At 39.7% G+C, this 26,074-nt stretch overlaps 1 protein-coding gene and 1 pseudogene across 7 annotated transcripts in view, besides 1 other annotated feature; both read right to left on the bottom strand.

Annotated features, from left to right (window-relative positions):
• Positions 1-26,074, bottom strand: part of LMLN (leishmanolysin like peptidase) — an 83,504-nt gene that overhangs the window by 39,961 nt on the left and 17,469 nt on the right. For 3 of the 7 annotated variants that reach the window (XR_007095764.1, NR_026786.2, NM_001136049.3), the window contains exons 6-12: positions 23,256-23,434; positions 19,712-19,817; positions 17,870-17,964; positions 13,084-13,201; positions 7,478-7,585; positions 4,418-4,494; positions 635-745 (exon numbers count right to left, since the gene is read on the bottom strand). Coding sequence is in view for 4 of the 7 variants with exons in the window: in NM_001136049.3 (NP_001129521.3) it covers positions 635-745; positions 4,418-4,494; positions 7,478-7,585; positions 13,084-13,201; positions 17,870-17,964; positions 19,712-19,817; positions 23,256-23,434 (794 nt within the window). In the remaining 3 variants the exon portion in view is untranslated. The remainder of the gene's footprint in view (positions 1-634; positions 746-4,417; positions 4,495-7,477; positions 7,586-13,083; positions 13,202-17,869; positions 17,965-19,711; positions 19,818-23,255; positions 23,435-26,074) is intronic. The other 4 variants (NR_026787.2, NM_033029.4, XM_047449155.1 and 1 more) reach the window with 3 other exon arrangements.
• On the bottom strand, positions 9,051-9,159 carry RNU6-621P (RNA, U6 small nuclear 621, pseudogene; annotated as a pseudogene).
• Positions 18,495-18,695: a silencer, noted in NCBI's record as "peak4999 fragment used in MPRA reporter construct". NCBI's record gives its function as "represses an SCP1 promoter by STARR-seq MPRAs in K562 erythroleukemia cells {active_cell/tissue: K562}" and the evidence as "EXISTENCE:reporter gene assay evidence [ECO:0000049][PMID:32103011]".

Raw genomic sequence — 26,074 nt, 5'->3', positions numbered from 1 at the left:
GTATCTGTATAGATGATATATAGATAGATGTCAAACTTACTACGTATGATATGTATCTGTATAGATGATATATAGATAGATGTCAAACTTACTACGTATGATATGTATCTGTATAGATGATATATAGATAATGTCAAACTTACTATGTATGATATGTATCTGTATAGATGATATATAGATAGATATCAAACTTACTCTGTATTTTTTAAAAGCTTGCTAGGTGATTATAATATGCATCTGGATTTGGAAACCCCTATTCAAAAGTGCCTTTTTTTTGATACTGAATCAATATTTGCATCTATGTTTACAGGTGCATTCTCTGAAGAAAACACCACAAATGACAGAGGAAACAAAAGGTTTGTAAAATATATATATTTATGAGTTCTAATAAGCTGAATAGAAATGTTCATGGCTGTGGGCCCTTCACTGTGGATTCCTTTAGTATATGATTAAAAACTACTTACAGCTAACTTCTCACTATATTATTACCAACCATCTATAGATGGTTTTCTATATATTTTAAAATTGAACTGCTCAGACTACATTTTGAAAATAGCATTTTAGGCTCAGGATAAAGAATAAAGTCAGAAAGGAACTGTGTAATCAGTGACACTGTGAGGAAATGCATTCTTACTTTTGTCTCTGCTGATCAATCCAGAATTTACAGCTCTTCCTGACAAAGTCACAGCCCATTCCTCGGCCCCAGTCTAACTTCTCAGCCATGCTGTAATTTGCTTTATACCAGCTGTGGAATAATTCAAACAAAGCAATTTTTACTGCTGTCCTTTCAAAAACAACTCTAGCATAACAATTGAGAATCTCAACAATGAGCACATTAGGACCTTAAGAAAGATTTTGGAGGCCAGAGGCCATCACTGTAAGTGATCACTCACAACGTTCTTGCCGCACAGGGACTGCTACACAGGGATTCCATAACCAGGCTTATGATGGAGGTATTAAATACTTTTATACTTTGACATAAGTATAAAATTTCTATTGTAATTTTCACTTTATTTTATTTTGAGACAGGGTCTTGCTCTGTCACCCAGGCTGGAGTGCAGTGGCACGATCCCAGCTCACTACAAGCTCTGCCTCATGGGTTCAAGTGATTCTCCTTCCTCAGCCTCCCAACTAGCTGGGACTACAGGCATGCACCACCATGTCTGACTAATTTTTGCATTTTTAGTAGAGACGGGGTTTCACTATGTTTGCCACACTGGTCTCAAACTCCTGATCTCAGGTGATCCACCCGCCTTGGCCTGCCAAAGTGCTGGGATTGCAGGTATGAGCCACTGTGCCCAGCCTATGTCCATTAGTTTTTAAATGTCCTAGCTGGGCGCAGTGACTCACATTTGTAACCCCAGCACTCTGGGAGGCTGAGGCGGTTGACCATTTGAGGTTGGGAGTTCGAGACCAGCCTGGCCAACATGGTGAGACCCTGTCTCTACTAAAAATACAAAAAGTTAGCCAGGTGTGCAGTGGTGTGTACTTATAGTCTCAGTTACCTGAGAGGCTGAAGTGGCAGGATCACCTCAGCCCAGGATCATGCCACTGCACTCCAGCCTGGGAAATAGAGTGAGACCTTGTCTCAAAAAAAAAAGTTCTAGTAAGAGAAAAAAGAAAGCACTGATGGAGTTTCCAGACAAATTTAATTGAAAGCAATCAATTTGTTTTAGTTTTTATTTATTTTTAGAGACAAGATTTGCTTGCAAAAGTTATAAAATTATACAAAATAGTCTCTTACCTGTGTGTATTATATTTTGTTCCTTTAGCATTATCAAAACAGTAAATAAAAACATAGGCTCAGGGCTGGGCGCAGTGGCTCACGCCTGAAATCTCAGTACTTAGTGAGGCCAAGGTGGGTGGATCACTTTAGCTCAGGAGTTTGAGACCAGCCTGGGCAACGTGGCGAAACCCCATCTCTATAATAAAAAATAATAATATTGAAAAAAATAGGCTTGAAAGTTGGGGAGATAAGAATTATCCCCTCCACTTGTACCACCTTGCTACAAAATCAAACAAATGTGTAATGTAGCATCTTCCAAAACTTCTCTCCTGTCAACGAACAAAACTCTCACTCAGACAGAAACTGAAGGAGTCGCGGTGCTCCAATGCCAAAATGCCTGCAACTTCTGCAACTACAATGTGAGTTACGTTACTAGCTAACTTGGTATCGCAGCAAGGTCAAACTGTCCAGATAGTGACAGGTGCCCCTAATGTTGTGCACTAGCAATTATTTTAGCAGTGCTCAGGTTCAGAAGCCCTTAGCCCTATGAATAAAATGTGGAGTAAGTAGACTCCTTTGTGAAGGTACATGTCGATGAGCGCAGAATATCTTATCAGCGCTGTTATTCCATCCTCAGGTGGGCACTCCAGCTACACATCATGAGACCTTCCTGATAACCGTTTCTTTGCAGCTCTTTCTGTATTAGCAGTCAACAGTTCCTAAGCATTTGTCGCATGGTAGGCACTTTGTTAAATGAAGGCTACAGTAGTAAATCAATAAACAGAACCTGCTCTCATGAAGATCATAATCTAGTAGGGAAGACAGATACTAAAACAAAACATTTGAAGTGTGATGAATATTCCAAAGGAGAAGTATATGATGCTAACAGGAACACAGTAACAGAAACACCTACATTAGTCTGAAGAATTCGGGAAGGTTTTTCTGAGGAAGCAACTTTAGCTCAACTCAGAAGGATGAGCACTAGTGAGGGAGTAGAGGGGGCATTAGAAACAGAGAGTTTCTGAGTATTAGTGAGTTGTCAAACCAACGTAGTGGATCTTGATTAACATTTCTTTCTCTCTCTTTAAAAACTAAAAACTAAAAATAAAAAAAAATAATAAAAATAAAAACTCAATACAATAAAGGACTGCACTGTAGGTGGTCAGGGTAAGTATTGTTTCATGAAGCCTTAGCTCAGGTTTTTATATGATGCTCATACTTAGTTGGCACTCACAGTGTGCCAAGCGCTGTACTAAGAGCTTTACAGATATTTACTCATTTAAGTCTCATAAAACTCGATGAGATATGCTGGGCACGGTGGCTCACGCCTGTAATCCCAGCACTTTGGGAGGCCGAGGTGGGCAGACCACCTGAGGTCACGAGTTCCAGACCAGCCTGGCCGACATGGCGAAACCCCATCTACACTAAAAATACAAAAATTAGCTGGGTGTGGTGATGCACGCCTGTAGTCCCAGCTACTCAGGAGGCTGAGGCAGGAGAGTCGCTTGACCCTGAGAGGTGGAGGTTGCAGTGAGCCAAGATCACACCACTGCACTCCAGCCTGGGTGACAGAGCAACACTCCGTCTCAAAAAAAGAAAGAATAACCTCTATATGTTTAAATGCTTTTACCTCTTTCACCTCTCAACAGTGAAGGTAGTGTCAACAATTTTCATGGTTTTAATAGCACCTCTACCATTAATTTTCAAATTTGATTCAATTTTCTAATTTTCTCTCAGACTGTCTTAGAAAGAGTAAGAGGTAACAACGCTTCCACTAAAGCAGCTTTCATTTTTTTTATATGTAGGGGTTGTATAAAAGATTTCATTTAAAAGCAGTATTTCTGCCAGGCGTGGTGGCTCATGCCTGTAATCCCAGCACTTTGGGAGGCCAAGGCAGGAGGCTTGCTTGAGCCCAGGCGTTTGGGACCAGCCTGGGCAATAGAGTGAGACCTTGTCTCTACTTAAAAAAATAAACAAAACAGTATTTCATGGCTTTACCTGAAAGTTCCATTGTTTTATAAAAAACCAGTCATTTAAAAATTGTTTAGTCTTTCCTTCATAATTTAAACATTGTTTAGTCTTTCCTTTATAATTTAAAAATTGTTTACTCTTTCCTTCATATGGGCTCAGCCCCTGCTTATTCGAAAACAAATCATATCAGGGGTATGTCCTAATTATTACTATGTCTCGGGGCCTCAAATATTTGTTGAGGCCAGGTGAGGTGGCTCAGGCCTGTAATCCCAGCACTTTGGGAGGCCAAGGTGGGTGGATCATTTGAGCCCAGAAGTTTGTGAACCTGGGTAACATGACAAAACCCCGACTCTATTAAAAATACACAGTTAGCCAGGCATGGTGGCACGTGCCTGTAGTCCCAGCCACGCAGGAAGCTGAGGTGAGAGGACTGCTTGAGCCCGGGAAGTCCAGGATTAGTGAGTCCAGATTGCCACTGCACTCCAGCCTGCGCAGAAGGAGTGAGACCCTATTTTAAAACCAACAACAAAAGTATTTATTGAATGAACGAATGAATGAATGGAGTTGGTATGAATAACGGACAGCTAACTGTACAAGATTCAAATAATTAATAAGTATATTTTGCTTCAGCATAAAATGTCAGCATTTTCTTAAGCTATAAGCTCAGTATTAATTTCATTTTCATAAGCAATTCATATCCTCTTGTCACAGCTGTCTTACCCAGTGTCCTCCATTAATGCCAGAGTGATTCGAGAGAGTACTCGATTCTGAGTGTGAGAACCAGTCATCGCTTCATTCTGAAAATCACCAACAGGGTTTAATTAGACTAGATTCTCTGCAACTCCTAATATTTTCTGCAATTCCTCTGATATACATATTTAAAATGTTTCAACTGTGAGAGGCTGACAAGACATTCACTTAAAAGTGGTGAAATACATAAACCTTTAAGATGACTAGACTGAACCTTGAAGTGAAATCTATTTTCTGCCCTAAGTGCTTCCATTGTGTTCAATTCCCTTGGAATGGCAGGCAGCTGGCATTTAGAACTCTGTGATGAATGAAGATAAATCTATATGGAAACAGAAATGCTACAGAAATATTATACTCTCCAGGTAAAGCAAAGTGGGTGATTGAGGCAAATGCACAGATAATTTGGGGTCAGGGAGAATAGCTGTCTGAATTACACTGAAAATGTTTTCCTCACCTTCAACTCTGTGATCACAGAAACATGTGTAACATGCAAAACAAGTGGGACAGAATCATGGGGTAAAAGGACTTCCTTGAAAGGTCTAAAATATCATCATGCTCTACCATCTACCCAATATTTTAATTCACACCATACAATTCCTATCAGGAGGTCACCTAATGATGAGGACTTCACTGCCTCTTACAGAGCTTATTTCATCTTTGGACAGTTCTGAGTGTTCTTTAAATCTTTCCATTGAACACCAGATGGCCATCTCAAGTACTGTGATACCACGCTTTAAAAAAAAAATAGTTCAAGGACACAAAGTTGATTTGAGAGAAGTTAATGAAATTACTACTGTCAGCGCTTCTGCTGAAAAGCACAAACATTTTCATTTCTGGCCAATGTACAGCTTTCTAAAGGGAGTCACTTAAGAAAATTTCTTAAGGAAAAAAAAACCACACTTCCCATGGGAGGAATAAATGTACGTCCCTTCCGTAAGTTTCCATCATTGTTACTTTGTGGTCACCTAGACAAGAACAGTAATCACAAGCACTAATTTCATTCTTTCCAGAATTGTATTAACTTTAGGCATGATGTATATGAGCTGCAACTATCTATTTAAGCAGATCTCTAAAAATAAAAAGATACTGGTTCCTATTTGGGACATGATCTTTCTAAGCCAGGCTGGTCCTCCCATCTGTCTATTGTGGTCTTGTGCTCTGGTACTTGAGCTGCATGGGGAGGGAGAGAGGCACAGATGACAGCCCTTCCACTGCTATGTGGAGCCCAAGAGGAATGCCTGGCTCTACTGCGCTGGCACGCTGTGTATTCCTTCTAATATCCTTCTCGAAGGGAATCTTTTCTCAACATGGCTTGATTAGGTCCTGTGAGTTTGACTGCTTAGTTGAATCTAAAAACACCACCTGAAACCCCATCCTGGGTATCACAGATATAAATAAGTTGCTCATTACATTTTCTAAAACACAAAATTTAAACCATGAACTGTGTTCATTAACACAGAACTGTTATGCTACATTCATATAGAAAAAAATGGGTAGATCCAAGTATACAGTTTATTCTGTGAAAGCATGTGTTTCTGCGATGTGAATGAACTCATGTGAAATTCATAAATAAGGGAATGGCATCAGTATAACAAGGAATCACGTTGGTTCATTGATTTTTCCCTGCATGTGACTATTTTGTGATGAGGCCTAAACACCAAGTATACTAAGACAGCCAAACACAGCAATACAAAAATGCTGTACAGTGCATAATGTGCTGCTCGGTGTAGCCAGCGGCTCTGCGTGCAAGTGTTTACTGTATGGTTCTCACAAGTCTATGTACACTTTACCCCTGTCCTCAATACTCAGATTTACAATCCCTCATCCAGCTACCATGGGTTATTATTGCTGCTGATGTTGAAGGTAAAGAAATGCTAGAGTAGCCAGGTGCGGAATGCATGCCCGTAACCCCACACTTTGGGAGGCTGAGGCGGGTGAATTGCTTGAGTCCATGAGTTTGAGGTCAGCCTGGGCAACATGGTGAAACCCATCTCTACTGAAAGAACAAAAAGAAAATTAGCTGGGTGTGGTGGCACTTGCCTGTATTCCTAGCTACTCAGTAGGCTGAGGTGAGAGAAGCATTTGAGCCCAGGAGATTGAGGCTGCAGTGAACTGAAATCATGCCACTGTACTCTAGCCTGACCAAGTGGAGTGAGACAGAAAGAAAGAAAAGAAAGTTAAAAGAAAAGGAAAAAGAAAAAGAAAAGTAAAAGGAAAGGAAAAGGAAAAAGAAAAGGAAAGAAAGAGAGAAAGAAAGAAGGAAAGAAAGAAAGAAAAGAAAAGAAAAGAAAAGAAAGGAAAAGAAAAGAAAAGAAAAAAAACAAAAGAAAAGAACGAACAAACGAACGAACACACAGACTAGAGTAGGCTGGGTGCAGTGGTGTTTGCCTGTGGTCCCAGCTACTTCGGAGGCTGAGGCAGGAGGACTGCTTGAGCCCAAAAGAATTCGAGGCTGTAGTGTGCTATGATCATGCATGTGAATAGCTGCAGCACTCCAGCCTGGATGACACAGTGAGGCCCTGTCTCTAAAAAACATAAAAATTTTAATAAAATACTAGAGTAGATACAGGACTTCATTTATTGAAAATCTGATGTCTTTTTAAAACGGAGCTCATAGTTCTATATGACTTATTTGTTTCTGTTAGTGATCTGTTTACTTGTTTTTCCCACAAGTCTTGTTATTTTTAGTGTCCAATTGTGAAGAAAAAGGTTTTTCAGGAAAGCATACATTGCATTATAGCAGAAGCACCTATAGTGCCTTGGAAAAAGTGAAAAAAGTTGCATAAATATGTGAACCCATGAAAAAATAGACAATTCAGCGTGTGTTTGCACACACATACATATATAACATTTATGAAAGTATATACAAAAAAAGTAAGGAGTGACTGTATCTGGAAAGTGCATCTGGAGAGCTGAAGGGGTAAAGGGACGTAAACATTTTTCAGTTTATAACCTGCTTGAATAAGTTTTACCATAATTATGAATTATTTTCATTAAATAAAGTCTAGGAAAATTTAAAAACAAACTGACCTCTAATAACCTTTTTTCCCAATGGTTGAGCTCAGTGCCCACACCACCTTGATTTTCAAGTTCCATTCCCTCTAGAACTGGACAATCAAAATGTTTTCGTGCTTCCTCCTAAGAACCAGAAAAAAAATCAGAAACAAATATGGTACAAAAGTACCGTAAGATAACAGCAAACTTTTCATCACATGAATATAATAAGTTAACATTAAAGAATTACTTTGTTGAGAAAGGAGAATTTCTTTTTAAAATATGGTTTTTAATATAACTAAATATTTTAATGCAGTCACACTCTTCTTTGCTAGGAAATTACTACTTAGTATCTTTTCTTCTCTCTGAAGATTTTCACTTTTGCAACATATAGCTAAAAAATGTTATAGACTAGGATGATTGACAGTTGTAACTCATGTCAATAACAATTTAAAATTTTTTATTTAAGTTATAACCATATATATTTATGGAGTACAGAGTGATGTTATGATTTATGAATACAATGTGAAATAATTATATCGAGCTAATATAGCCATCATTTCAAATACTTTTTTTGTGAGAATATTTTAAATTTACTCTCAGTAATTTAAATCTGTGCAATACACTACTATTGACCATATTCACCACACTGTGCAATAGATCTCAAAAAAAAAGAAAAAAAAAGTGTTACACCCATCTGTGATTTTGTACCCTTTGGCCATCACCTTACCATCTCCCCCCACCCCAGCCTCTATAACCACTACCCTCTGCTTCGGGGTTCAATAGTTTTAGATGTCACATGTGAAATGTGAAAACATTAGGTATTTGTCTTTCTGTTCCTTTTTTAGCATCAGTTCTCCAGTTTCACCCATGTTCTTACAAATGACAAAATTTCCCGCCTTTTTAAGGCTGAATAGTATTCCATTGTGTTAGTGGCGTCAACTTCCTGTTCAGTCCAATATCTGTGTATAACTGTTGATTTCCCCATAACTTAACTATTAATAGCCTACCATGGACTAGAAGCCTTACCAGTAACTGCACAGTCAATTCTCACATATATTGTATATTGTATGTATTATGTGATGTATTCTTACAATGAAGCTAGAGAAAATAAAATGTTATAAAAATATCATCAGTAAGAAAAGATATTCACTATTCATCAAGTGGAAGTGGGTCCTCATAAAGGTCTTCATCCTTGTCTTCACATTGAGCAGGAGGAAGAGGAGGGGGTGGTCTTGCTAAGGGGTGGCAGAGGTGACAGAAAGTCCACAAATAAGTGGACCTGAGCAGTTCCAACCTATGTTGTTCAAGGGTCAATTGTGTATAACACACTTTCTTTACCCACTCATCTGCTGATGGACACTTAGGCTGATTCTGTAATGTGGCTGTTGTAAATAGCGCTGCAGTCAACACAGGAGTGCAAACATCTCTTTGACAAACTGATTTCAAATCTGTTGTGTAAACATGGAACAAGGATTGTTGGAGCATATGGTAATTCTATTTTTAGTTTTTTGAAGAACTTCCAGTTTTCCATAATGGCTGTACTAATTTATACTATCTCCACATCCTCACCAACACTTCTTATCTTTTGTTTCTTTTCTTTTCTTTTTAAAATATGGAATGCTTCATGAATTTGCATGTCATCCTTGCACTGGGGCCATGCTAATCTTCTCTGTATCATTCCAATTTTAGTCTTTGTGCTGCCAAAGCGAGAGCTCTTTTGTCTTTTTGCTAACAGTCATCTGATAGGCATAAAATGACATCTCATTGTGCTTTTAATTTTCATTTCCCTAAGGATTAGTAATGTTGAGCATTTTTTCACGTACCTGTTCACAATTTGCATGTCTTCTTTTGAGAAATGTCTATTCAGGTCCTTGGCCCATTTTTTTAAATGGGCTGTTTGTACACAGCTGTTTGCATTTCTTGCATATTTTGGATATTAACGCCTTTTCTGATGTATGGCTTGCAAATATTTTCTCTCTGTTTCTAGGCTGTCTCTTCACACTTTTGTTTCCTTTGCTGTGCAGAGGCTTCTGCGTCTGATGTAATCCCATTTGTCTGTTTTTATTTTTGTTGCCTGCACTTTGAGGGTCCAATCCAAAAACTCATTGCCCAAACCAATGTCATGTAGTTGTCCCCTTATGTTTTCTTCTAGTAGTTTTACAGTTTCTGGTCTTAAGTTTACTTAATATGTTTGGAGTTGGTTTTTGTATATATGGTGTGAGATAAGGGTCAAATTTCATTCTTCTGCATATGGATATCCAGTTCTCCCAACACCATTTATTGAAGAGACTTTTTCCCATTGTGTATTCTTAGCACCTTTATTAAAAATCAATTAACCATAATTGGTTAATCATAATCAAGTCAATAAATTAATCATAATTTATTCTGTTCCATTCATCAATGTGCCTATTTTTATGCCAGGACCATGACATTTTAATTACTATGCTTTTGCAGTACAGTTTGAAATACTGCAAAGCTGGAGGCATCACACTGCCTGAACAGCTTTGTTCTTTTTGCTCATGATTGTTTTGGCTATTTTTTCTTTTTTTTGGTGTGTTTGTGGTTCCATATGAACTTGAGGATTTTTTTTCTACTTCTGTGAAAAATGACATTGGAATTTTGATAGGGATAGCACTGAATCTGTAGACTGTTTTGGGTAGTATGGACATTTTAACAATACTAATTCTTCTACTCCATGAACACGGGATACCTTTATATTTATTGTGTCAATTTCTTTCACCTAGTTTTCAGTGTACAGGTCTTTTACTTCCCTGGTTAAATTTATTCCTAAGAATTTTTTTTTTGGTAGCTATTGTAAAAGAGATTGTTTTCTTGATTTCTTTTTCAGGTAGTTTTCTGTTAGTATATAGAAAACTACTAATTTTTGTGTGTTGATTTTGTATCCTGCAACTTTTACTGTATTTATTAATCCTCATAATTTTTGATGGAGTCTCTAGGGTTTTCTATGTATAAGATCATCAGCAAACAGCAACTATCTCACTTCTTCTGGTCCTATTTGGATGCCTTTTATTTATTTCTATGGCCTGACTGCTCTTGCGATGACTTCCAATACTATGTACAAGTGGTAAGAGTGTTCCAGATCTTGGAGGAAAGGCTTTCCATTTTTCACTAATGAGTATAAGATTGGTTGTGGGTGTCTCTTATATGGCCTTTATTGTGCTGAGGTATCTTCCTTTTGTACCTAATTTGGTCAGTTTTTTATCATAAAAAGATGTTGAATTTTGCTAAATGATTTTTTTGCATCTATTGAGATGATCGTATGGTTTTTGTCCTTCATTCTGTCAGTGAGATGGATCACATTTACTGATTTGCTATGTTCAGCCATCCTTGCATCCTGGGGATAAATCTCACTTGATCATGATGGATGACCTATTTAACATGTTATAGAATTCAGCTTGTTAGTATCTTGTTGGAAAATTTTTGTACTTATGCTCACCAAGAATATTAGCCTGTAATTTTCTTTTCTTATGGCCTTGTCTAAATTTGTTATTAGAGTATTGCTGCCCTGGTAAAAAAAAAGTCTGGAAGTAATCCCTCCTCTTCAATTTTTTGGAAAAGTTTGAGAAGGACTGGATTATTAGTTCTTCTTTAAACATTTGGTGAAATTCAGCAGTGAACCTGGTCCTGGGCTTCTCTTTGATGGCAGACTTTTATTACTGATTCAATCTCATTACTCGTTATTAACCTGTTCAGATTTTTTATTTCTTCATGATTCAGTCTTCATAAGTTGTATTTGTCTAGGAATTTGTTCATTTCTTCTAGGTTATCCAGTTTGTTGGTATATAATTGTTTATAACAGTCTCTCATGATCCTTTGTGTTTCTGTGGTATCAGCTGTAATGTCTCCTCTTTCATTTCTTATGTTATTTGCATCTTCTTAGTCTAACTAAAGGTTGGTCACTTTTAGCTGTCCAAAAAAATCTATTCTGGCCAGACACAGTGGCTCACGCCTGTAATCCCAGCACTTCAGGAGGCCAAGGCGCACGGATCACCTGAGGTCACCAGTGCCCCCTCTGTTGTGATACCTCAGGATCCGTGGTACTATTTCTATAATGACTGATCATTTGGTGTCTGTATTAGTCAAGGTTCTCCGGAGAAACAGAACCAATAGGATGTGTGTATACATCTATATATATGTACACACAGAGAAAGAATATGAGATGAGGGGAGGAAGAAATTTCCTTTTTTCTTTTTTTTTTTTTTTTTGAGACAGGGTCTCACCCTGACCAACATGGTGAAACCCCCGTCTCTACTAAAAATACAAAAATTAGCCAGGCATCGTGGTGGGAGCCTGTAATTCCAGCTACTTGGGAGGCTGAGGCAGGAGAATCACTTGAACCCAGCAGGCAGAGGTTACATTGAGCTGAGCTCGTGCCATTGCACTCCAGCCTGGGCAACAAGAGGCAAACTGTCTCAAAAAAAAAAAAAAAAAGTTGCTCAGTAGAATAAAACCTTGCTCATTGGGTTCTATCTGTCCTTTAGTTAGAGATTTTCAGAGATGGGAAATAGCCCAAGAGCAGTGCAGAACTTTAGAAGTCAGAGAGCTGTACAAAGTCAAGGAAAAGGGGAAAGGAGAATAGCCATGGTACCCAAATATTTGGCCCAGATATTCTGGATGTTTCTGTGAAGGTGTTTTCTGGAATGAGAGTAACATTGCAATGAGTGGACTCTGAAGTAAAGATCACCTTCCATAATGTGGGTAGGCATCACCCAATCAGGAGAAGGCCGGAAGAGAACAAAGACTGACCTCCCCTGAATAAGAAGTCATTCTGCCTTTGGACTCCAAGGGCAACAATCCCCTGAGTCTCCAGCCTGCTGGCCTATCCCATCGGATTTGAACTCGCCCAACTTCCACAGTCATGTGAGCCAAATCCTCAAAAGTTACCTCTTGGCCAAGTGTGGTGACTCATGTCTGTAATCCCAGCACTTTGGGAGGCTGAGGCAGGAGGACTGCTTGAGCCCAGGAGATCGAGACCAGCCTGGGCAACATAGCGAGACCTCATCACTACAAAAAAATAAACAAAATTAGCTGGGCGTGGTGGTGCGTGCCTGTAGTCTCAGCCACTCGGGAGGCAGAAGTAGGAGGATCACTTTGGCGCAGGAGACAGAGGTTGCAGTGAGCCGAAAACACTACACTCCAGCCTGGGTGACAGAGTGAGACCCTGTATCAAAAAAAAAAAAAAAGAAAGAAAGAAAATAAAAGAAAAAAAGAAATCTCTTCCTCCCCTCCTCTCTCGTATTCTTTCTTTGTGTATACAGATGTATAGATATATACACACATCCTATTGGTTCTGTTTCTCTGGAGAACCTTGACTAATACAGACACCAAAGAAAATGATCAGTCATTATAGAAATAGTACCAGTGGTCCTAAGAGGCATCACAACAGAGGAGGCACTGGCCTAAAGCACTGGGTGGGATAGGAGCTGTGAGAGCCATTGCCAAGTTTCCATTTCCTCAGATTTCTCGTGGCCCGTAGCTTCATTGCATTCCCTTTATATGACTTTTCCTACTATAGGCTCTAATTATAAGTTCTTAAACAATAATGATGAGTAAAGAAAGGACCACAGTAAAGGAAAAGAACAGATGGCTCATGAGACATGAAGTCTGATAATACTTACAACAACACGAGGCGTTACCAGGAGATACACAGTGTGACGAACTATCTTATTATCTCGAACATCCCATAATCTCTCCACTTTTCGAACTACTTTATCACTCCATTGATATAATCCCAGACTGTAATTATAGAATTAAAACACAATTATTACTGAAAATTCACCATTTTAAATATAAAAATATTTACATTTACTGTAAAAAGTCTTTATAAATATCAATATGAAATTAAAATATTTGAGAACCTCCTATGTATCAAGTCCAAACAAAGTACTTGATAAGTATTTTCCTTTCTACATTTTTTTAAATTTAATTTTTTGGTTGGGTGCAGTGGCTCACACCTGTAATCCCAGCACCTCAGCAGGCCGAGGTGGGAAGACTGCTTGAGCCCAGGAGTTTGATACCAGCCTAGGCAATACAGGAAGACCTTGTCTCCACAAAAAATTTAAAAATTAGCTGGGCGCAGTAGTGCAGGCCTGTGGTCCCAGCTACACAGGCGGCTGAGGCAGGAGAATCACTTGAGCCCAGGAGGTTGACGCTGCAGTAAGCCATGTTCGTGCCACTGCACTCCAGACTGGGTGACAGAGCAAAACCCTGTCTCAAAAACAAAATAAATAAAATAAAATAAAATAAAATAAAATAAGCCAGGCATGGTAGTGTGTGCCTGTAGTCCCAGCTACTCGTGAGGCTGAGGCAAGAGGATCACTTGAGCCCAGGAGTTCAAGGCTGCAGTGAGCTATGTTCACACAGCCGCACTCCAGCCTGGGTGACAGAATGAAATCCAGTCCAGAAAAATTTTTTTCAATTTATTTTTTATTTTTTGTTGGGACAAGATCTGCTATGTTTTGCCAAAACTGGCCTCGAATTCCTGGCCTCAAGCCATCTTTCCACCTCAGCCTTTCAAAGCTCTGGGATTACAGGCGTGAGCCACTGGGCCTAGCCCTGATAAGTGTTTTAAATTTCATCTTTTCAACAACCCTATGAGATTATCATCACTATTTTGCAGATAAAGAGACAAAAGTTCAGGGAGATGAAGTAACTTGTTCAAGTTCACATAGCTAGCACTTGGCTAAGATGACGATGAATTACTTCCTTTTGACAAGTGTACAGGATAAAATGAAAGCAAGTTCACAGATATCCAAGTATATAAGGAAACATAACCAACAAAATGCCATATTAATTTAGTGGGAAAGTAGAATTTATCTAACAACTGTGCTGATTATCCATTTAGAAAAAAAAGGTTAAATCCCTTTTTCACCACATACAAAAATAAATTCCAGAAAGTCAGAAGCAAAAATGACAGCGTAAAAATCTCTCAAAATTCTCTCCTCTATGAAAAAAGCAATGAAAAAAACCACCCAACTTGGTGAAATCAACTTCTTAAACTTTGGAAATTAATCAAAGATTTATAGCAATGCAGAAAGCATTTATTCATGAAAAATTGATGAATCTCCGTAGAAACAGGAGCGGTGTGGTGCGTTTCCATGCCCTCTCTCCAGCTTTTGGGCAGCCTTGAAAACCGACAGCCCACAATCATGGTGAAAACCAGTAACCTGACAGACACTGTAGCAGACAGAACAGGGTTAATTGGAAAAATGAATTTAAAAACATGCTCTAACTATATATCTACAAGAGACATAGTTTAGACTAAATAACACAAATAGGTGGAAAGTAAAAGGATAAAAAGATATACTACATAGGCCAGGTGCAGTGGCTCACACCTGTAATCCCAGCACTTTGGGAGGCCGAGATGGGCGAATCACTAGAGGTCAGGAGTATGAGACCAAACCTGGCAAACATGGTGAAATTCCGTCTCTACTAAAAACACAAAAATTAGCCAGGTGTGGTGGCACATGCCTGTAATCCCAGCTACTCGGGAGGCTGAGGCAGGAGAATCACTTGAACCTGGGAAATGGAGGTTGCAGTGAGCCGAGATCGCGCCACAGCACTCCAGCCTGGGTAACAGAGTGAGACTCCATCTCAAAAAATAATAAAATAAATTTAAAATAAAAATAAAAAACTAGATGAGCATGGTGGCACACTCCTGTAGTCCCAGCTACTCAGGAGGCTGAGGTGGGAAGATCACCTGAGCCTGGGAAGATCAACACTGCAGTAAGCCGTGATCATGATTGTGCCACTGCACTGCAGCCTGGGCAACAGAGTGAGACCCTGCCTCAAAAAAAAAAAAAAAAAAAAAAAAGGGGTAAATCCAGCATAAAGATATAACAATTATAAACATATATGCACCTTACAAAAGAATCCCAAAATACATAAATCAAAAAAAATTTCAAATGCATTGAAGCTATAAATGTAAAGAAATCGAATAATAATTTACTAGAATAAATGTAGGAGAATATTTTTATAATCTTTTGAGGCCTTAAGCAACAAAGAAAAAAACATCGGGGTACAGTGGCATGTGACCGTAGTCCCAGCTGCTTGAGAGACGGAGGCAGGAAGCTTGCCTGAGCCCAGGAGTTCGAGACCCACCTGGGCAATATAGTGAGACTCCATCTCAAAAAAAAAAAGATAGATGAATTTAATGATAAAAAACTTAAAAACTTTTCTATACATGGCAAAAGCATGATAAATGAAATAAAAAGATAAACTAGGAGAAATATTTATAATAAGCATGAAAAAGGAGTAATATCTCTAATTTATAAAGAACTCCTACAACGTGATTAGAAAGGGAAAATTAACCTAAAAGACTGGACAAGGAAAATAAATAGGCAGTGTACAAAGAGAAAATGCAAATGGCTAAAACCTCACTATAGTCCTGGAAATACAACAATGAGATACCATCTTTTAATCCATCAAATTGGGCTTAAAAATAAAAAAGATCTATAATATCCGATACTGATAAAGTGGTAACAAAAGCACTCATACACACCTGGTGGGAATGTGCTTTGCTATACCTTTTAAAAAAAATGTAACATGGCAGTTTCTATTAAAATTTATAGTGTAAACAGATTTTAAATCAGCAATCCCAGTTTGGGAAATCTACCCTGCATAAATAAAAGCACTACTACAAAAGTAACACATTTATCTATTATAGAAAATTACGATGGATATCAATTTTTATTTTTCCCTGTAACCTAAGTCATTTTTTTTCTGGCTTATTCCCTAGACTACTTCTACCATTTTCCCTATAAATCTTTCATTCTCAGTAAAAGAACAGAAAATATAAAGAGGGTTTTCTTTTCCAATACTGTTTTGTAAAAATTTTGGCCGGGCGCGGTGGCTCACGCCTGTAATCCCAGCACTTTGGGAGGCCGAGAGGGGTGGATCACGAGGTCAGCAGATCGAGATCATCCTGGCTAACATGGTGAAACCCTGTCTCTACTAAAAATACAAAAAATCAGCCGGGCGTGTTGGCAGGCGCCTGTAGTCCCAGCTACTTGGGAGGCTGAGGCAGAAGAATGGCGTGAACCCAGGAGGCGGAGCTGGCACTGAGCCGAGATTGCACCACTGCACTCCAGCCTGGGCGACAGAGCGAGACTCCGTCTCAAAAAAAAAAAAAAAAAAATTCAAACATATTAAACATAGGCCGGGTGCGGTGGCTCATGCCTGTAATCCCAACACTTTGGGAGGCCGAGGCGGGCAGATCACCTGAGGTCAGGAGTTCGAGACCAGCCTGGCCAACATGGTGAAACCCCGTCTCTACTAAAAATACAAAAATTAGCCGGGCATGGTTGCAGGTGCCTGTAGTCCCAGCTACTAGGGAGGCTGAGGCAGGAGAATGGCGTGAACCCTGGAGGCGGAGCTTGCAGTGAGCCGAGATCACACCACTGCACTCCAGCCTGAACGACAGAGCGAGACTGTCTCAAAAAAAAAAAAAAAGAAAAAAAATTTTCAAACATACAGAACATTAAAAGAATTGTTTACTAAACACCCTTATAATCAACCAGCTCACCTAGATTCTGTAATTAACATTTTGTTGTATTTGTTATCACGTTATCTGTTCATCTAACCATGCCTTAGAGAGGTTGTTTTTAATTCCTGTTTTTCCATGGCAAGGCAACGTTTACACATAAGTAGTGAACAAAGCCAGCCAGAAAATAAAGTTTTTACCTTATTAATCACTCCAATCTCTCTTTATCATTCATACTTCAAGATTAACAGTTTCCCCAAATACAGTTAAAGCAAAATCCAATTCTTTATATCTGTAACAACTGAATTTATTACTCTATTATCTTCGTTTTTACTGGAAGGCTTCTCTTTTTTTTCTTGAGACAGTCACTCTGTCACCCAGGCTGGAGTGCAGATGCGTCATCACAGCTCACTGTAGCCTCAGCCTCCTGAGCTGAATTGATCCTTCTGCTCAGCACCCCAAGTAGCTGGGACTACAGGCGCATGCAACCATGCCTGGCTAATTTTTGTATTTTTTTGTAGAGACAGGGTTTTGCCACGCTGCCCGGCAGGTTTTGAACTCATGGGCTCAAGCAATCAGCCCACCTTGGCCTCCCAAAGTGCAGGATTACAGGCATGAGCCATTGTGCCTGGCCGGAAGGTTTGATGCTTTTGAGGAATATCCTCAATGCAAGGAAGCACTGCAAATTATCAGCTTAAGAATGGTTCTTGTGTGTGGGTATCTCTCTCCTCCTCACTTACATCTCACAAGTTATGTTTTCATAAAATGGCCTCTTATATCCCATTTTGTTTTAATATCTACAATTTCCTTAGGTTTGCCATGAAGACATTATTATTTATGGCATCTAATATACTGTGATTCTCAGATTCTAGTCTTAGCACCCTCCTAAAAGAGGAGAACAAGAGCAACAACAACAAAAATACCTATAATTAAAAGGTGGGAGGCCATCTGCAAATCTTGAAGTGAGAGGATTTCCATCTTTATCATGGTAGAATGCAAACAGCCCAGCAGAGAAACCCTGTAAGAAAAAGTTCAAAATGTCTTCAAGTGAAAAACATCAAGGCTGATTACAGGCCTGCGATCAAAAGAGAGCACTGATACTAACGGGAACGTAGAAGCACCACGCCAGTGCTTCTGTAGGAACTTCTCCTACGCTGGAATTGAACAACAATTAAGTGTTCCATATTTATAAATTTTAAATTCTGATTACTTGAGGTAAATATTTCTAACGAGAAATTTTCTAAAATGTATTATATATTTTAAATTTATATTCAGTAGAAATACTACAAACATTAATTACTGTCGTATAATTATATTTCCAAGCACGACTAGAATTTTAAAACCATAAAGAACACCAGCTGTTGTGTTTTTAATTCCTGTTTGCTCTGTGTGTGTGTGTGTGTGTGTGTGTGTGTGTGTGTGTACATTATGAAATGGTTTTGAAAGTCTGTCTGCGTTTTAAAGTTATTTTGGCCTTCTTATATATATAGAAGAATCCTCCCAAAGTTCTGGGATTACAGGCGAGAGCCACCGCGCCCGGCCCTTCTTCCTTTTTTGAGAAGCTATCAGCTATCAGGTATCACTTCTGAACAAGAGCTGGACCAGAGCTGAAAAGATGGAAGCTGGACACTGAGATACGTGGCCAAGACTGACACTTGCTTACAATAAATTTACTTAAAAATTACTGGGAAGATAAACATTCGTATGTGTTCAAATAAACATGTAAAAAAATATTTAGCTGACACTTTCCTTTCCTTTAATTTGAGGAAGTGGCAAGTCATTACTACTTTCTCCCTATAAGGATTTTCACATGGTTATCAGAAGCGGCAGCAGAAGGGCTGGGCGCGGTGGCTCATGCCTGTAATCCCAGCACTTTGGGAGGCTGAGGCGGGGGGGATCACTTGAGCCCGGGAGTTCAAGACCTGCCTGGGCAACATGGCGAGACCCCCATCTCTACTAAAAATACAAAAATTAGCAGGGCATGGTGGTGCGTGCCTGTGGTCCCAGCTACTCTGGAGGTTGAGGTGGGAGGATCATTTGAGCCCAGGAGGTTGCAGCAGCAGAGGGCTGGATATAGTGGCTCACCCCTCTCATCTCAACACTTTAGGAGTCTGAGACAGGAGGATCACTTGAGCCTAGGAGTTTGAGACCAGCCTGGGCAACATAGCGAGACCTTATCTCTATCAAAAAAAAAAATTAGCCAAGTGTAGTGGCACATGTCTGTAGTCCCAGCTACTTGGGAGGCTAAGGTGGGATCACTTGAGCCCAGGAGGCTGAGGCTGCAGTGGGCCATCATGGGGCCTCAAAAAACAAACAAACAGCAGCAGCAGCAGCCCAGGGCTCTGCCGTATCTATATACTTCCAAAGGCCTTTCAGTATTGTTCATTTTTCAATCTTAGAATTTTAAAAGAGGAAAAAGCTTTATAAATCTTTCTGTTTGTTTGTTTGATACAAAGTCGGCCTCTACCACCAGGCTGGAGTGCAGTGGCACAATCTCGGCTCACTGCAGCCTCAACCTCCCTGGGCTCAAGCCATCCTCCCACCTCAGCCTCCCAAGTAGCTGGTACGACAGGTGCACACCACCATGCCCCGCTAATTTTTGAATTTTTTATTATTATTATTATACTTTAAGTTTTAGGGTACATGTGCACGAACATGAGTCTAGGAATCCACATCATCTTAAAGTGGAATATATGTATAAAAATGAGAACATACTAAGCAGAAAATCAAGGCATGAAGGAAAGAACAGTAAGGCTAGAATTTACCAGGGCATGAATAACCTCATGTTTCACTGTGGACAGCATCCCAACAAACTCCTGAGGCTGGGTAGAGATCATATTTGGACACAGGTTAGCATATCCTGCTATTGGCCTGTCAAAACAGACATTGAATTTTTAAATTACATTCCAGAACAATATTTATTAACATTTACTTCTCCATCAAATACTGCTCAAGGACAGAAAAATCTTTGCAAAGTATCCAATGCAATTTTGTACCATCACTATCTTACTTTTAAGACATGTATCCTCTGCTTTCCTATGGCATGGCAAATCAACCCCTGTTTCCACAAAAGGACATACTTGATTATACTTTAATATGAATTTTTGAAATATATCAATATAATACCCAAAAAAGAACGAACTGAAAGGCTCAAATTCTAACACTATTTTAGTTGCAAAATCCATATTTAACTTCAGCATTTCAGTATATCTACGGGCACAGAGACAAGCAGGTAGAGAGGAAAGCAGTTATCAAATGGGGCAATAAATGAGTGGTTCAGATTGCTGAAAGTCGCTGGCCCTTCTTATCTGTTTGCTATTCCCTTTCTCCTGCTCCAACACTGCCTACATTCACATAAATATTTCTACCATCCCATCATCTTCTTCCAAATTCTACACCCTTTAGAATCTACACACTTCTACATCTCTCTCTGTGCCTAGAACCTGCAAGTCCAAAGGCAGACTAGGACTCAAGAGTCCAGAGTAATTCAGTTCCACCATGCGCCTCCCTGTCTTTCAAAAGCTGCAGCCAATGAACAATGCTGAGGAACCCCAAGCTCAGTTCTCCTACCACTATCTTAACATCTTACATAGAAACACCACAAACCTCATCAAAGTATAACTGACTATTTATAAAGTACATTTATCTTATTTAAATTGTTAAATACTTTATATTTTCTTCATAGGTAATAGCAACAGACACAGAATTAGAAAAAGTATGAATACAATTCTTTTATTTAAAAATTGCCACAGTGACCTCTAAAATATAAAATGGATTTCACTTCCAGGCTTAAAACTCTTCAGGGGCTTCCTGCAGCACTTGGAAGAAAACAATCCTGTCTGCCTGTCAAAGCACCTGTCCTCCGACAGTGTCCACTGAGGGGCTCCTGAAGCAACAGGTGTACATGGCTTCTGCCTTCACAAGCTCTCCCCACATCTCTCTATTTGGCTACAGCCTATCAATGTTCAGGTTGCAGCTAACGTTTCACTTTCTCAAAGAGGTCTTCCTTGTTCAATTGATCTACAAGGTGTTTCCTCTTTTATTCTCCTCTATGTTACAACATTCTATTTATTTTCTATGAAGTATTTATCATACTTTGAAATCACATATTTATTTGCAGGAATATTTAATACCTGTCTCCCTCTGCAATTCATAAGTTCCATGAGGCAGATACACATCTATACTTTGTTTACCTCATCTGTTGGCCGCTCAAATATTCATGAAATGAATTAATGCAATATAGCAATTGTGAAGGAAGGTTTCACTTCCTTGAAAAAGAAGAACTTAAGGCCGGGCGTGGTGGCTCATGCCTGTCATCCCAGCACTTTGGGAGGCCAAGGCAGGTGGATCACCAGAGGTCAGGAGTTCAAGACCAGCCTGACCAACATGGCAAAACCTTGTCTCTACTAAAAATACAAAAATTAGCCAGGCGTGGTGGTGCGCACCTGTAGTCGCCGCTACTCAGGAGGCTAAGGCAGGAGAATCACTTGAACCCAGGAGGTCGAGGCTGCAGTGAGCCGAGATCATGCCATTGCACTCCAGCCTGGGCAACAGAGTGAGACACCGTCTCAAAAAAAAAAAAAAAAAAAAGAAGGTAACTGCTTTTTCTTTTAACAAATCTAGGAGAAGTTAGTTAACTAATTCCTGTGCATAAAAGGACCACTGCTGAGGTGTTAAACATCCATCTATCGGTCAAAACACGAGCTGAGGCCAGGCACAGTGGCTCACACCTGTAATCCTAACACTCTGGGAGGCCAAGGAAGGCAGATCACCTGAGGTCAGGGGTTCAAGACCAGCCTGGCCAACATAGTGAAAGCCCTGTCTCTATTAAAAATACAAAAATTAGTTGGGCGCAGTGGCGCACACCTGTAGTTCCAGCTACTTGGGAAGCTGAGGCAGGAGAATCGCTTGAACCCGGGAGGCAGAGGTTGCAGTGGGCCAAGATCACGCCACTGCACTCCAGCCTGGGTGACAGAGCGAGACTATGTCTCCAAAAAAAAAAAAAAAGACTAGCTGACTCCCTTTGAAGTCAGCTAATCGCTAATCTCAAATCTAATCTCACCTAGATCTGAGAATGTTATATACAATCTATTCTGAGACATATGGCAATTTCTACTGCCTTTACTTGATTTGTCTAGTGTGTGACAGGCAATCTTCTGCATATATAACTTTTCATTTCAAAGCTAAGCTGCTTCACAGGAAAAATGTTTGAAATCTTTTGTAAATGAAGAGAACTCTGAATGTCTAAGTGATGTTTAGCTAAGTGAATCACATATAACAAATTACATGACAATTAGATGAACAGTCATTATTAACACCTTTCTTCACAGTTTTAGCACAGAAGTCCTAAAATTAAAGTTCAAATTGTTGCCTTAGAGCAGGAGTCACCTGGAAAGAAAATTCTCTTGACAGTGGACTTATCATTATTATTGTTGTTTTTTGGACACAGGGTCTGGCTCTGTGGTCCAGGCTGGAGTGCAGTGGTGTAATCACAGCTCTCTGCAAGCTCCACCTCCCAGGCTTAAGCAATCCTCCCACCTCAGCCTCCTGAGCAGCTGGGACTACCGGCACACACCACCACTCCTGGCTAATTTTTGCATTTTTTGTAGAGACAGAGTTTCACCATGATCCACCCGCCTCAGCCTCACAAAGAGCTGGGATTACAGGTGTGAGCCACCGCGCCCAGCCATTTTGTTTTTTCTTTTTTGTGAGGGACAAGGTTTCACTCTGGTGCCCAGGCTGGAGTGCAGTGGCATGATCACAGCTCACTGTAGCCTCAACCTCTCAGGCTCAAGCAATCCTCCCACCTCAGCCCCCTGAGTAGCTGGGACCACGGGTGCATGCCACCACACCTGGCCAATTTTATTTTTTGTCAAGATGAGTTCTCACTATGTTGCCCAAGCGGGTCTCGAGCTCCTGGGCTGACGTGATCCTCCCACCTCAGCCTCCCAAAGAGCTAGGATTACAGGCGTGAGCCACCACACTTGGCCCACTTGACAGCAGACTTTTTCTTTGGAATTTAGGCAAAAACGATAGGATCAAAATGGAAGAGGAACGGCAGGCAGAAAAGTCAAACGAAGTGCTTCACTTTTCTCTCTTTCACTTTGACTAAAAACTTGGGTTATCACATTAATAACAGTCTAATCACGGTCTCCTAACCCCACTCCAAACCCAGGCAGCATGCTATTCCTGTCTACCAGAGGCAATCTGGCAAATGCAAGATTCCTGTAATCTTAACACTAAAAATACAGTTTGCTTTAAGAGTTCCCACATTAGATCTTGGAAACTAAGTCCCGGAGGAAAGATTACCTGTCCATGTTTGCTTCCTGCTGACAATAGGCTGCATAAGAGATGATGTTTTCATGGCTGCATCTCTCGGTGGCCAGAGCACCAACGTAAAGAACAAAGTCTGCATCTGAGATGCCTTCTTGGTCTGGCACACCCACTGCTCCATGAGGCCACTTACCCCCACGGTAGACCCGGCATTGCTGCACCCACGGGAGACATCAGAAAGCCAGAACAGAGACAAAGTTAGCTGTAGTGGCATTTAATCTTATAGTAAAATCTACACTATAAACACAGTACAATTTAATCTTTATTATCCCTAAACTTTTATCAAAATCCATACCTCCCTGTCTACTCAATACCTAGCTCTAATTCTGAATTTATTTTAATGAAATGTCCACTTTACATAAAATGATCATAAACCTATAATCTCAATTAAATAATTCCTATTTACAAAGGAAGGCCAACCAAACAGGACGCTGAAAAGACAGAAATATAAAAGGTTTTAAAACTCTGAAACTAGATGAAGGGATTTCCCTAAAAGTAGCTTTTTTTTCAACTTTCTTTGAATCTACAATTAATTCTAAACTAAGTGGTAAAAAAAATCTTACCTAATGGAAATATATTTCCTATTATAATGCAATCCACATCTTGTTAAAAATTCAAACAATATAAAGGTATGAGTCATCTCCCCTTGTTTCTAATCTTCTAAGCAAATCTTTTATTATTAAAAACAAAATTTTTTTTGAGGTGGAGTCACTCTGTCACCCAGGCTGGAATGCAGTGGCGTGATCTCGGCTCTCTCCTGCCTCAGCCCCCCAAGTAGCTGGGATTACAGGTGCCTGCCACCATGCCCAGCTAATTTTTATATTTTTAGTAGAGACAGGGTTTCACCATATAGGCCAGGCTGGTCTCGAACTCCTGAACTTGTGATCGGCCTGTCTCGGCCTCCCAAAGTGCTGGGATTACAGGCATGAGCCACTGCACCCAGCCTAAAAATTTTTTAAATATATATAGACGGGGTCTCACTATATTGACCAGGCTGGTCTCAAACTCCTGGCCTCAAGCAATACCCCCATCTTGGCCTCCCAAAGTGCAGGGATTAGGGATTACAGGCGTGAGTCACCGCACCTTGCCCAGCAAATCTTATTTGCCTCTGTAATGGTCACTTTTTTGAAAGCTACTTCTATCAGAATTCCCAAGTAATCATAATCTCCAAATTAGAAACAGAAAAATCAGTAAATTATTATTTTTAAGGTGTAAGCAATACTTGTAGAGGGAAAAAAAACAAATTCTCATTTCATTTAATAGAAAATACACATTGTTTATTCTTCCTTCTCTAACACATGCATTTATAATTTTTAAAATCAATTACTTTAGGGAGTGGGAGCTGAGGAGATGTTGGTCAAAGAATACATGTTTATAGTTAGAAGGAATAAGTTCAAGAGTTCTGTTGTAAAGCACAGTGACTATGGTTAATGACAATATGCTGTATTCTTATTTATTTATTTAGTTTAGTTTAGTTTTGTTTTGAGCCAGAGTTGGAGTCTTGCTCTGTTGCCCAGGCTGGAGTGCAGTGGTATGTGACCTGGGCTCACTGCAACTTCCGCCTCCAGGGTTCAAGCTTCTCCTGCCTCAGCCTCCTGAGGAACTGGGTCTACAGGCACCCACCACCATGCCCAGCTAACTTTTGTATCTTTAGTAGACAGAAGGTTTCACCGTGTTGGCCAGGCTGGTCTTGAACTCCTGACCTCAGGTGATCCGCCCACCTCAGCCCCCTAAAGTGCTGGGATTATAAGCATAAGCCACCGTGCCTGACCTTGTAGTTTTTTATTAAGCACTAGCTTAGCTTAGGCATAGTCTGAGATATTATTATTTATCTAATTATTTTTGAGACAGGGTCTCACTCTGTCACCCAGGTTGGAGTACAGTGGGAAGATCATAGCTCACTGCAACCTCCACGTCCCCAGCTCAGGCAATCCTCCCACCACAGCCTCCCAAGTGGCTGGGACCACAGGTGCACACCACCAATCCTGGCTAACTTTTTGTATTTTTTGTAGAGACAGGGTTTCACAATGTTGCCAAGGCTAGTCTTAAACTCCCGGAGTCAAGCAATCTGCCTGCCTTGGCCTCCCAAAGTACTGGGACTACAGGTGTAAGCTACTGTGCCCGGCCTAAATTTTTTATTTTTTTGATATAAGTAATAGATGTTCAATAAGAAAACTCAGAACATCACAAAAATCTCCATAACTTATGAAAGAAAAGCACTTTCCCCAACAATCTCTTAAAGAAATGATTAACATTTTTATATGTATCCAGAATTAACGTGTGTATACTTCCAGATGTTTGATGATTTTTATATGTATCCAGATTTAACGTGTGTATACTTCCAGATTGTTTGATGATTTTTATATGTATCCATATTTAACGTGTGTGTGCTTCCAGATTGTTTGATAATTTTTATATGTATCCAGATTTAACGTGTGTATACTTCCAGATGGTTTGATGATTTTTATATGTATCCAGATTTAACGTGTGTGTACTTCCAGATTGTTTGATAATTTTTATATGTATCCAGATTTAACGTGTGTATACTTCCAGATTGTTTGATGATTTTTATATGTATCCAGAATTAACGTGTGTATACTTCCAGATTGTTTGATGATTTTTATATGTATCCAGATTTAACGTGTGTGTACTTCCAGACTGTTTGATGATTTTTGTATGTATCCAGATTTAACGTGTGTATACTTCCAGACTGTTTGATGATTTTTATATGTATCCAGAATTAACGTGTGTATACTTCCAGATTGTTTGGTGATTTTTTATATGTATCCAGATTT

Source organism: Homo sapiens, chromosome 3, assembly GCF_000001405.40.
Source record: "Homo sapiens chromosome 3, GRCh38.p14 Primary Assembly".
Taxonomy (NCBI): Eukaryota; Metazoa; Chordata; class Mammalia; order Primates; family Hominidae; genus Homo; species Homo sapiens.
The sequence above is the reverse complement of the archived record's forward strand: the minus strand, read 5'-3'. Positions and strand labels throughout refer to the sequence as shown.